Source organism: Homo sapiens, chromosome 14 (assembly GCF_000001405.40).
Source record: "Homo sapiens chromosome 14, GRCh38.p14 Primary Assembly".
Classification (NCBI taxonomy): Eukaryota; Metazoa; Chordata; class Mammalia; order Primates; family Hominidae; genus Homo; species Homo sapiens.
In genome coordinates, this window is record NC_000014.9 from 94,362,179 (window position 1) to 94,375,790 (window position 13,612).

Here is a 13,612-nt window from a genome sequence, read left to right on the forward strand (position 1 = left end):
AGGAGCTGAAATTCATGTAGCTTGGGCTTCCTAGCCCATTTGTGTGGGTACTTAGGGTGGTGACACCACCTGACAAGTGCCATCCAAGGGCTCCAGGGTGTGACTGGGAAGGACTCATTCTCTCCACTCCAGTGAGGGGTCCTTGTTTCAGAATAAAGAGAATTAAGACCCCTTCATTCTCACTACATCTGCTTCTGTTTCATGTAACACATGCAGTCACAGACAAACACCAACTCAGAGACACACAATCACAGAAACACACACACACAGACACATAGCCACAGACACATCCTCAGTCTAGATAGAAACACCTAGACACACAGACACATATAGACTCAGACAAACAGAGAAACATCACACACACAGCCTCACCCACAACCACATGCAAACACACAGAAACACCTAGGTACCCTAACACACATAGACTCAGACACACAGACTCTCAGACTCACATTGACTCAGGGACACACAAACACAGAAGCACACACATACACAGACACACACAGACATATCCACAGCCATATGCAGACACAAAGACAGAACTACTTAGACACACAGACATATCCACAGCCATATGCAGACACAAAGACAGAACTACCTAGACACACAGACACACATGCACAGACACACACACAGACACACACGCACACACACACACAGACACACATGGTCACACACAAACACACAGAGACACATGCACGCGGACACACACAGACATACCCACACAGAGACACACACACACAGACATACCCACGCAGCCACACACACACACGCAGACACACAGATGTACACACAGAGACACACACATATACAGACACACACAAACACACACAGAGACACACACACACATAGTCACAAACAGACATACCCACACAGAGACACACACACGCAGAGACACACCCACGCAGCCACACACACACACAGACACACACAAACACACGTGGTGGAGTCCCTCTCACTCTGGGCCACACAGACGCCACCAAAGGCTGCACATCTGACTTCCCCAACCTCCGGGTTGGGGCCTGGCAGGGAGGCAAGGTGTGGCAGTGTCCCCGCCGTCGCCTCTGACGGGCTGCTTTGCACTCACAGGTGGGGGCATTCTCTCCTCATGCTGCCACTGAGAACGGGAGGCTCAGCAAAGTGGCTTTTCTGGGTCACACAGTGCCACAGCGTTCTAGCACTCAGGCCCTGGCCTGGCTCTCTCTGGGTGACCCGCACTTGGCGGCCGCTCCTGGTAGCCCCTTGCTCTTCCATAAGCTCCCAGGTCCAGGCCCTTAAACTGAGGATTCAGCCCCCTCCATCCTGGCCTAGCACATGCCTGCCCAGTCAGGTGCTCCATGAACACAGTTCAGGAGGCCCGGAGACAGCACTGTGACCTGGAGTCCACACACAGCCTCAGTGCACAAAGGGAGACTCAGAAACAACAGGGGAGGGGTTTGCAGTCACACGCAGGCAGAGGGCAATTCAGCCTTTCTTTAATGTTATCCAGGGAGGGGGCCAGGGGTGGAGGGGAGGGGCTGAGGAGTGACAGCCAGTTATTTTTGGGTGGGATTCACCACTTTTCCAATGAAGAGCGGAAAGTTGGTGCCATACACTAATGTATGGCTTATGCTCAAGTATCATTTACTACAGGACACCCAATCTAACAGCATCGATAAAGCGACAGAGAAACGCAAGCCTTCTGCTAACATGGCCTGGCTGTTCCAATTCCGAACTTTGTTTTTCTGGGCCTTGCCACACAGGCTCTTCCCCCGTCCCCTGAAGGACATGCTACCCTTGAACTCCACACTCCACTGTTGCCTTTGCCAGGAAGCCCATCTGTTCCTTCTTGGTTCTGCCAGAATGTGTGGTGGTGCTGCTGTCCCTGCCCTGGGCACTGGATATTGGGAAGGGACAGTGTCCACACTGGAGTGGGAAGTCCCCAGGGACGAGATCTTTACCTCCTCACCCCTGGGTACTGTCCTCCTCATGGAGCATGGATGGTCCTGCCTGAACTCAGTGGTGGCCTCTGCAGTAGCTGTGACCCAGGGATGTGAGGTCCACCCTCCCCAGCCCTCTGGCCAGTCCTGTTGGGCCTCAGTCCTGACATGGCTCAAAGGTCTGGGCAGCTTCTGACTCAGCCCCTGAACTGGAAATCACCTTATGTCAAAGGCTCTCTGGATATTTTCAAGGTGGCTGTAGGTCAATTTTTCTTCCAACTGCCACATCTTCTTTGGATCGGGCAGGATGAAGAAGGCAGTGGCGTTCCCCACATAGTGCTGTGCCAGCACCCAGCTGGATAACTCCCTGTCCCGGTGGATGTCAAATCTACCCAGGTGGTTTATCATAGGCACTCTGATGATGGTCTTATCATCCACATGGAAGCCCTCTACCATAATGCGCTCAGCCTTGAATTTATCTTTCCACTTGCCTGGAAGAAAAGGAAGGTGGGCATCAGCCAGGTGTGGGATAAAAGGGTGGAAGTGTGTGAATGAAAGGAGCCCTGAGCCCCTTTGGCAGGACACTTCCCTCTGCTTCAGCTTTATCATCTGTAAAATGGGATTCAAATGGAACTATCTGGCTGCTGGAGAGCTTTTGTGAGAATCACCTGAAGATAAAGAAGAATCCAGAGTTTCTATATACTTGAACTAATTGGCAAAATCCTGGTGCCACAGAAGAAGCATTTATATTTGGCTCTGTTTATTCGATAGCGGCTTGGGGATGGTTAATGAAAGTTAATGAGTAAAATCGGAACTCCTTATGCCTTGCCACCTTTGGCTGGAGGCTTCTGATCTCATGCAGAGGGCTGGTTCTGTTGAGATACGAGGACAGCATTGTGCTTACTTCTCCTGAGGCCTTTCCCTGGATGAGCAGGGGAGATGCAGATGCCTAGGCAGACTCCCCTCTGCCGTACCAAGAAAGCTTCACCATCGAGGCATGCCAAGTGGGCAGGTGCCTCAGGGACCCTTGAGCTCAGCTTTCTCATTGGACAGAAGGAGGAGACGGGGGCTGGAGAGGGGCCTGGGCCTGCCCTAAGGCCACAGCAGAGCCCGGACCTCAGCTGTGCTGACTGCAGCCTGGCTGCTCTCCACTGCCCTCCTTTGCCTCAAGAGCAAGGGAGCCTCAGAGTGGAGGAAGCAGCCCCTGGCCTTGCCTCCACCTCCCCTCCCCTATGCTGTTTTCCTGGGACAATAGGAGCTGGCTTAGAATGCCCTGGGGCCCCCAGCACCCTGGCATTTTAACCCCTCAGGGGCAGGAAGGCAGCCTGAGATACAGAAGAGTCCATCACCTGCTGTATGCCACACACCATCCCCATGGTATCTGTCACTTGTTTAATCCTTAAAACAACCTGACAGCAAGGATGCTATTTTGTCCATGCTAAGACGGGAAATTAGCACCTCAGAGAGGTAGAATGCATTGTCCTTTATCAAAAGCTAGTAAGTGGTAGAGGCAGGATTTGAACCCCAATATTTTAGACGGCAAAGCTGACACTGCTTCTGGGACACTAGGGTCGTCTAAAGTATGTTCCATGAAACTATTCCTTTATGCATGTGCCACAAAATATTTTTCTGGCTTTAGCATGTGGGAAGCATTTCATATTCTGCCCCCTCCCTATTAGGGATTTCCAATGAGTATTAGGACAATAAAGGCTCTGACAAGGTCTGTAGAGAAGATGATGGTTTGGCTGTCTTAAACTCATCATTCTTCAATCTTGTTTGATCATGGAAAGTATTTTATTGTTTGTGTTTGGAAAATTGCAGAATCCATGTTAAATGCCCTGCCATATCTCATAGTACATTGTCTAGGAAAGCTTAAGAACTAGTAATTTGAGAATATGTTTGGATTATTTCAGTGGAACGGGCTTGGACAGGTAGTGCTACCTTACCGTGAAAGGAAATGTAATCCACCAGGGCAAGACTTGTGTCTTTTTTCAGGTGTTTGACCAAATCCACTACTTTTCTTCCAGTTCTTTTCTCCACATAATTGTTGATCTGCTCTTTGGCCTCCTCGGTGTCCCTGAAGTTGATGGAAGAGGCTTCTGAGTGGTACAGCTTCTTGGTATCCTCCAAAAACGTGTCCACTAGCTTCATACTCTTGTTAACAAACAGGCTACTGCCGGTGGTCAGCTGGAGCCGGGTGTCTGGCCTGCTGAGGGCTTGGAGAACTTGCTGGAAGCATTCGTGGATCTTGGCCTCAGGCGTCTCTGTGAGGTTGACATTCAGGCCTTCCAGGATCTCTGTGCGAGTGTCAGCCTTGGTCCCCAGGGAGAGCATTGCAAAGGCCATAGCCACGCTTGTTGGGGTGACTAAGACATTGCTGGTTTGTGATAGATCAGCCAGCTCTTTGTACAAATCAAAGGCGAGGTCGGTGACGTTATAGGAGATCTTCTGGCAAGCAAGGTCCTCCCAGTCCCCTTGATCATGGTGGGATGTATCCGTCTTTTGGGCAGCATCTTCCTGGGGATCCTCAACCAGGGAGCTGGGGACCAGGCAGCACAGGCCTGCCAGCAGGAGGACGCCCCATGAGACAGAGAATGGTATTGTCCTGCAAGACAGAGGCAGAGGGCCAGGCCCCAAGTCAGGGCACATGATGACTCCCAGTGACCAGGGACTGACATTGTGTGATTGCAACCATGAATTATTAAACATCCACCATGTGCCCAGCCCATTGCAAACACTTTCCTACACCATCATCATTGAAAGAATAAGAAAGATAGCAAGCACGTGTAAGGTACTTAGCTTATGCCAAGAACTGTTCTAAGCACACGTGTGTTAACTCATTGCTTTCTTGTAACAATCCTGTGAGGTGGTAATGCTACTATCTTCCTTTTACACATGAGGAAACCAAAGCCCAGAGAGGTGAGACTCAAGCCCAAGGTCAGCAAACAGGAAAAGCAAGCATCCCTCAGCCTGGCCGGCTGGGTCTTGAGTCCTTGCTCTCTGCAGCTCCACTTACCTCTGTAATGACCTTGAGGTGCAAATGCCACAGCCCCATTTTGTTTTATTTTATATTTTTGGAGACAGAGTCTGGCTCTACCGCCCAGGGTGGAATGCAGTGGTGTGATCTCGGCTCACTGCAACCTCCGCCTCCCGGGTTCAAGCGTTTCTCCTGCCTCAGTCTCCCAAGTAGCGGGGATTATAGGCGTGCACACCACGCCAGGCTAATTTTTTGTATTTTAGTGAAGACAGGGTTTTGTCATGTTGCCCTGGCTGGTCTTGAACTCCTGACCTCAAGGGATCCTCCCTACTTGGCCTCCCAAAATGCTGTGATTAGAGGCATGAGCCACAGCATCTGGCCCCCATTTTAGAAAATAGGAAACTGGGGCACGGGAAGCATAAGGGACTTGCCCAGGGTTACTAAGGAAGTGGGTTAAGTCAGGATCAGCAATGACTTCCACACACCACAACAGTCCTTGGAGATCTCCACTGACCTCCCTTATTTAATGGACAGAGAAGCTCTGTCCCCAGAGGGACGGGATACTGTACCGTGACACACAGCCAGGGCTCAGAGGCGCTGTGTAAACCCAGCCTACCTGAATTCTGCCTAGGCTCTCCCCAGATTCCACACACTTCATGCATCTCCCTCTCCTCCCAACTGTGATAGCCTTCACTTTATAGGACCCTGGAGCCTGGTTTGATTATTGTCTGAGCCCTGTGACATTCCTGGCCTGGGGAATGCTGCTGATTAAAGCACATGACAGCCCTGTTTCTAGGGGCAATCGCAGACATTGCCTTTCGTCTAAAGATATGTCTTGTAATTTCCATTTTCATAGGATGGGAAAGGTGAACTCAGAGTGGTTCAGTAACTTGTTCAAGGCCACATAGCTGGTCAGGCAGAACCGGGAGCCGACAAGCCACCAGCTGCTGGCCAAGTGCTTTGCGTAGAGCTGTAGTACTGCCTCCTCAGAGGCTGGGGCCTTGGATGCTGCTCTTGGCCAGGCCCGGAGGACGTCAGGGCTCCTGATCCTGGCCGTTTGGACATATTGGGCTGGGCAGTGCTATGCTGTGGGGGACTCTGTGGTGCATCCTAGGATGTTTGACAACATTCTCAAGAAAACCACAGTCATGTAGTGACCCTCAACTCACAGGGATGGTGATAAACCATCCCCTGGCCTTGCTGATTGCCCCTGTGGAGCACCCCTGGGGTGGGGGCTCAGATCACCCTGGCTGTCTTGAAGGTCTCCTCTTGCCTAATTGGACAGAAGCTTCTCTCCTTCAGACTGGACTTAAGTCAAGTGAGGCCCATGTGAATCTGCCTGGGCCCAGGCCGTGTGGGATGTCCATTCCTCTGGGATGGGGGCCCTGTTTAGGGTCCCCAGGATTGCACTGCGTCTGCTGTCCCAGGTCTCAGGAACCTATAGCCGATCTCCTCACTGACATGATGGAGCTCTCACATCCATAAGGTTCCTCCCTGACCCAGGGCTTAATGCCAGCCCCCAGGGAGACTCAGGGGCTGTGCCCACAGAGGAGCCTGTGCCCCAGCCCCTGGAGCCTGTCCTGGAGTTGCCCCGCTATGAGTCGGAGGTCCCTGCCACACACGTGGGCTGAGGCTCCTGCTGTCAGCTCAGGGGAGACTCAGGTATTGCTGGTTCCAGCCCTGGGCCTAACAGCAATAAGGGACCCGGGGAGGTTGAGCTCTCCAGAAAAACATGAGTGTGTGGGAGAGGAAGTGATGACAACAGGCCTGGCTTCTCTTCCAGGCTCTGTCGCTCACCAACGATGTGATCTCAGAAAAGTATTTCCACCTCTCCATCTTCCTTTTGAAGTGGGAATATGGGGAGAATGAGGTGAAATCAATGTAAATGTGAAGCTGGACAACGGGAAGGGGCCTCAGAAGCAGCGCTTTGCGGGGAGGAGAGGGCTGGGTTTCGAACCCACAAAGCCTTCAGGACCTGTGAGGGCCCCAGCAGGTAGAGGAGCGGACCATGAACCAGGTAGGAGAGAGGGAAGAGGGGACTGAAAAGGTCGTCAGGCCATCAGAGAAGTTAATGAATTCACCTCACCCTTTCAAGCCAGGAGTTCTAACCAAGAGATCAAGGGCAGAGGCCCCTGGGGGCAGGAAGGTGGGGACCGGAGAGCAGTGAGGAGATGACACAGTGTCCTCTGGAATCTGGGTAACAAGCTCTGAAGGGCCAGAGCTAAAAGGGCATCCCTCCTCCTCTGAGACTCTTAGGGAGTGGCCATGGGGTCCAACAGGGTCTTGGACTCTGGCTCAGGCTGGAGGTTTGAATGAGCAGGGTAAGAAAAAGAGAGCCTGGCTGCGCGCATTGGCTCACGCCTGTGATCCCAGCACTCTGGGAGGCTGGGGTGGGTGGATCAGCTGAGGTCAGGAGTTCAAGACCAGCCTGACCAACATGGTGAAACCCGGTCTCTATTAAATACAAAAAAAAATTAGCCGGGCATGGTAGCGCATGCCTGTAATGCCAGCTACCTGGGAGGCTGAGGCAGGAGAATCGCTTGAGCCCAGGAGGTAGAGGTTACAGTGAGCCAAGATTGCACCATTGCACTCCAGCCTGGGCAACAGAGGGAAACTCCATCTGAAAGAAAAAAAAAAAAAAGAAAAAAGAAAAAAAGAGCCTGAGGCGGAGGGGCCTGTTGGAGAGCAAGGGGGCATCCCTAAGGCTGAATCCTTCCTGCCTCTACAGGTGGAGACACAGGTGAATACCAGGACACCAGAGGGGAGTCCCACCCTGGGGAAGGCAGGAGAAGGGGAAAATCACACCCGACCGAGCCCCGCCCCCCAGCTCTTACCCTCTGTAGGGGCCCACCCTGTGCTGGGCACTTTGTGAGAAATGGAATTCCAACCCCCAACTCACTCTGCCCCGCAGGATCACCAAGGTTCGGACGCCTGGGTTCAAATCCTGGCTCTGGCCAAGAGGAGCTAAAACTCTGCGTGCCTCAGTTTCCTCCTGTGTGAAGCGCAGATAAGAATTCAGGCAGGGAGGCTCACGGCGCTCTCCCCCAGCGTCAGCTCCAGAGGAGGCTGAGGGAGAACTCCTCACCCAGCAGAGCCTGTGGGTTGTGCAGAGAGGCTCGCTGCGCTGCCTTGCACACAGGCCATCCCCACGCACTCTCAGGGCTTCTCGTGCTCATGGGCCAGTCTAGGGGGCTGTGGGGATGCTCAGTCCCTGTGTTCAGGAAACTCCTGTCCCGGAAATCAGCCTGGGGCGCCTCCAGCTCCTGCCATGCTTTTTGTCTCCAGTGAGCCCGATCTCACCCGAGGGTCTCGCTGTTCTTCCCCGGATGGGCTCAGTCCAACAGAACCAGCCTGTGCTGTGCAGCCATGTGGGGATGTGGGTGGAAGGGAGCCCCGTGGCCATCCAAGATCCAGGTTCCTCTCTCCTTGACACACCCTCAGAGAGGTGACGAGAGGAGCCAAGGAATTCATACACGCTAGGGGCCTGGAACCGTGGCTGACCCTTGGTAGATGCCCAGTAATTGCCAGCTGCCTGAAGTCACCAGGCTTGTGTCTACCAAGACCCTGGCCTGGGAATCTCTCACCAGGAGCTGGAATCCTTGTTGCTCTGCCTCCATAGCCCATTTGTGTGGGTACTTAGGGTGGTGACACCAGCTGCCAAGTGCCACCCGAGGGCTCCTGGGTGTGACTGGGAAGGACTCGTTCTCTCCACTCTAGTGAGGGGTCCTTGTGTGAGGATAAAGGGAGTTAGACCCTCTCATTCTCACTACATCTGCTTCTGTTTCATGTAACACACACAGTTACAGACACACACCGACTCAGAGACACACAATCACAGAAACACACAGACACACCCTCAGTTTAGATACAAACACCTAGAGACAGAGACACATGTGCACTCAGGCACACACACTCACAGACACACACACAAACAAGGAAAGACATTACAGTTACATGCCAACACACAGAGACACACACACACACACACACACAAAGACACATTGACATATAGCATCACACAGAGACACGGATACTCAGATGCACACACACAATCACACACACACACACACACACACACACACACACACACACACACACACGGTGCAGCCCCTCTCTTCCTGGACCACACAGACACCACAAAAGGCCATACACCTGACTCCCTGCAACTCGGGTCCCAGGCCTGGCAGGGGGGAAGCTGTTGCCGTGACCCCGGCAGTCACCTGCAGACAACCTGTCCTTCAGGCCGAGGGTGGTGATTCTCTGTTAGTGAGAATGGGAGGCTCAGGATGGTGACTTGTCCATGTCACTCAGTGTCACAGCGTTCTGCCTGCACTCAGGCCGGGGTGGGCCCTCCTGCGGTGACTGATGCCAGGCTACATCTAGCAGCTGTATGAGCTCCCCAAATCACTGATTTCTCTGACCCTCTGTTGACCACCTGTAAGCGAACCTGATAATACCTGCCCTACCTCCCCTCATGGGGATATAGCTTCTAGGACAGTACTTTGTGAGTTATAAGAAACTGCAAAAATTCTTAGCCACCTTGATGGAGAAGATAATGAGAACTAGACCCCGCCCCTTGGGAGGGCTCCCAATAAGCCCAGATCAGCCATGTTCACTTCAATATAAGGCAGTTTGTTTTATTCCTTTCCTTGGGCTAAGAGAGAAATTGTAGCTGCCCCCTGAGGGAAGGAATAGAATGAAATGTTGGTGGTGGGAGTGGTCGGGAGAAGGTGCCTGCTGTACAGAGAGAGAGACTCCAGGCTCAGTGAGGGACCTGCCCTCCTGCTGTCCCTCCTCAGGAGGCCAAGGCCTGCCTCTGTCTGGAACAGGGGACATGGGACCTAGACACCATTGCAGGGTAGGTTTACAAGGGCCACCTCTATCCCGTTCCTGAGGCTACACACAGTTCACCTCTGAAGTCATTTTTGCTGCAGAATCTGCCTGATAGTCGGGGTTTTGCGCTCATCTCCATTTCGCTCTCACCTGGAGGGGCTCCCTGTTGGAGGGGCTGTGAGTCTGCACCCCCCAGGGGGGCACAGCCACCTCCAGATCTGGCCCTGGCTCTGCTGTGCCACTGCCTGAGAGAACGACCCCACCATTTCTCTCCATCCCCTGGCGGGGGAGTTTCACCCTGGCTCCGAGCCTTGGTGCTGCTGGCCCTCCACCTCCAACCCTCTTCCTTCTCCTTCTGTACCTTGGCCCTTCCCGACATCCCAGGTGCGGTCTTTGGGTTGGGCTTCCACAGCTCTCCTTGGTGGCGCTTCCTTCACACTCCTTTCATTCCTTCCCTCTTCCAGCCCCATCATCCCCTCACTGGTAAAGTAGGGCATTCTACAGGCTCAACAGCGCCCCCCAGAGATATGTTACCAACTATGGAAGAAATGTCCTTGCAGATGTCGTTAAGGGTCTTGGTAGGAGAAGACAATCCAGGTGGTCCCTAAATGCTATCGCAAGTATCCTCCTGAGGGGGAGGGGGAGGGAGACCTGACACAGATGGAGAAAGAGGGGGCAGTGTGACAACAGAGGCCGTGACTGGAGGGGCAACAAGTCAAGGAATGCCGGCAGCCACCAGAAATTGGAAGAGGAAGAAGTGGCACATCCCCTAGAGCCTCCAAGGACACTCGGCTTTCCTGACACCCTGACCTTGTCCCAGTGATACTGTTCTGGACTTCTGGCCTCCAGAACTGTAAAAGAATGCATTCTATTGGAAACCACGGAGCTCATGGTAATCAGCTAAATCAGCTACGGCAGCCACAGGGGACTCACACGGGGTCCTCACCTCTGCTGCTTCTGCCGCAGTCTCCATGCGTCGGTCTCAATGTGAGATGCGATTTTTAAGAGCAGCCTGGGCCCTTTCCCTGTGCCTCCTCTGCCCCAGATCAGCAGTGGGCACAGGGCACACAGGTGAAAGACTGACGTGGGGCCGGCCTGAAGCCCTCAGAGCTCTATGGAATGTCAGGACTCCAGGGACCTCAATGCTCACATTCTCTGGTGAGGAAACTGGGGCTCAGGGAGAGGAGAGGATGTCCGCAGTGTTAGGTGGCACATTAGTGGTAGACCTGGGAAAAGATCCCAGGCTGATTCCTAGCTCAGGGTCATTGGTAACAAACTTGTGAATATCTGTAATTTATTCCTCTGTTAGTTCCCTGACAGAGCACGGGGCACTGGGGGAAGGTAGCCACACCACTCACATTAACTAATATTTTTGGAATCCACAGTATTCATTAATGTTTGGTGGTCATTTAAGTAGCAGCACTTTTTTAGGGTGATGCTTTGCATATTATTCATGAAAGTAACCTAGGAGTTTTATTTTACCTGTCTTGCAGGTGAGGGCGCCGAGGCACAGAGAGCTGTAACAGCCCACTCAGGATTGTATGCTAAGGAGAAGGTGGAGTTGGGATTCCTGTGTTCTTTCCACTTTGCTAAGAAGCCCTTAGCAATTTCATCCTAATATTTTAATGCTGAAAGACACTTACTTGATCAATCTCAGAACATATTTTGAGGGTATTAACTGCCAATTAAAAGGAAAAAAAGTTTTTTACTTAAGACACACTGCTGACTTTGTTTGCTCCCCGTGCCCTCTGTCAAGGAAGCCCAGCAGAGTTTAAACACAATTCTATTAGCTCTGATTGTTCATTCCTTTTTGTTGGTGTTGTTCCTAAATCATCCCAAACAGTGAGCACTTCAATTGTGGAAAATCAGCTTTGACTTCTGAGAGCAAATGCCCCTGGAAGCTGTTGGCCAACAGTGCGTGGGGTGGAGGCCGTCCCCTTGCTGGCTTGAGCCCCTATGAGTCTCTCCTGCGTGACTCAGTGCTCACATTCCTACCGTTCCTTGCTCACCACCGGATCTGGGCGTATTTCTGCATGGCCTGTGCTGAGCATCTTGTAACTAGAACTTTCTAATGGGGTTTCCTTGTGGGAGTTCCTTTAGCCTTCCCGGTGTTTTTCAGATCTTAGTCACCCTTCCAGGCTTGCGTAGTAGGTGAAGACTTCTTTGATGCATTTCATGAATTCTGGTTGTTTCAGTCAGGATGGGCAAGGATTGTGCTGCAGCAACCGAGAAGCTCACAGCTCAATGCTTCAACCCTTTAGAAAGGGTTGATTCCTCTCCCGCTCTACTTGTCCCATGTGGGATGAACAGAGGGGATCTACCCACCCTGGGGACACAGCAACCAGACTGAAGGAGGTTTCAGCTCCTCACTTCCCCGCTCCAGACCATCTGACTCTAGTTCCTTTCATCATTCCTGATGTCACGATTTCAACAGTAAGCGTGATACCAATGACAGTGATCAGAAAACTCCTACTGCCATTGAAGCGTCTGCTGTCAGCATCTTCCAAGCTTGGATAACCAGCCCTTCTGCCCTGCCCAAGTGCCACCCATTTGAGGAAAAGGACAAATGAATAAGACATGTTTTTGTTTGTTTGTTTCTGATAGAGCTGATATTGGAGGGTGAGGCTTATGCCTGTTGGGATTTGGGCTTCTAGAAACTGACCTCTCATGCTGGTCAGCTTCACCATCTCCAGCAATGTGCGACTTAGGCCAGGCTCCACAACTAGGCCAGAGGAAGATTTCTGGGCTACATGGGACAAGGACAAGGAACTTTAGAGAAATAAGTCATTGCATTGAAACCTCAAATTTGATTTACATTTTGCAGATGAGGAAACTACGGCACAGAGAAGTTGAGGAACTTCCCTGAGAGCACACAGCCTGCCCTCTCCCATATGATACAATAGTGACACTCCTGCTTTTCCGAGTTGCTGCCTGGGTCCCTGCTGGGGAGGGAGTTTGCCTCAGTGAGAGTGCCTTTCTCTGACTTCTCTACTCAGGGTCATTCCATTTGTCCTTTTAGAACTGACCCAGGTTCCTGCGGAAGCTGTCCCTGGTTCTGAGTCCTGTGGTGTGCCTTGTTTACTTCATTGCCTGTGAATAATCCAACCAAGAGCAACACAAAAGCCTCAGCCTTTCAAGGAGCACTTGGGGTGTTTGAGGTCATCTGTGGGTGTAGGCTGACTGTTTCTCATGCCTCTGGAAAGGTCCTGGGTTACACCCTGACCCTCTCCACCCAGATCCATGGATGTACGCCTCATTTATTCACTGCTCCCCACTGCCATAGACCAGCATTCTCCCCGGGATGGACCTGGGTTTCATTCTCTCTATCCCCCATACACAGCTCATGTTTGCTTGTTTGTTGTTTGGATAAATGCTTCCCGCTCGGATTTATGGAGAGGATCAAGTTGCTCCTGGGAAGGAGATCAGTGTGAAATCTGTATTTCCTGTTTCTGGTGTGAGAGCCTGGAAGCTCTCTGACTATTGTCCTCTTAACAAATGGGGCTCACAGGGTGCCCCCTGTCCGGCAGAGCTTGCACTTCAAACTAAGGCTTCCTTTATTTAGGCTTAAAATCCGAAATTCGTGTGTTCTCTCCCCTGCAAACTCCTAGGCGAGGTAAAAGGTCAGGACTCTAAGGTTCCTGGCTGAGCTGGAAGCTGTTTTCTGCGTTTCCCTCTCATCTGTTTCAGAGCAGGATGAGGTTCCTGCCTGCAGAGGGAAAGTGACTTGGAACACCCAGGGTGCCCCGCAGCTTGGCCTTCAGCTGATGTTAGGGCACAGCAGGTTGATGCAGTGTGGTCCTGGAGGATGGAGTTGTTTATCGTGATCCCATATGGACTGAGGAAGTATGTGCTGTTGGGGACAGCCAGGCCTAACAGTGGAGAA

General features: G+C 52.1%; 1 pseudogene across 1 annotated transcript, besides 1 other annotated feature; it reads right to left on the reverse strand.

Moving 5' to 3' along the window:
- SERPINA2 (serpin family A member 2 (gene/pseudogene)) lies at window positions 2,140–4,524 on the reverse strand (annotated as a pseudogene). The gene is made up of 2 exons (NR_110563.1): window positions 3,866–4,524; window positions 2,140–2,410 (listed from the first exon to the last, which is right to left on the reverse strand). The product of NR_110563.1 is annotated as a serpin family A member 2 (gene/pseudogene), transcript variant 2 (transcript).
- Window positions 11,039–12,238: an enhancer, noted in NCBI's record as "P300/CBP strongly-dependent group 1 enhancer chr14:94839554-94840753 (GRCh37/hg19 assembly coordinates)". NCBI's record gives its function as "activates an origin of replication core promoter dependent on BRD2, BRD4, P300/CBP, MED14 and CDK7 cofactors, with strong dependence on P300/CBP, by STARR-seq in HCT116 cells {active_cell/tissue: HCT116}" and the evidence as "EXISTENCE:reporter gene assay evidence [ECO:0000049][PMID:35650434]".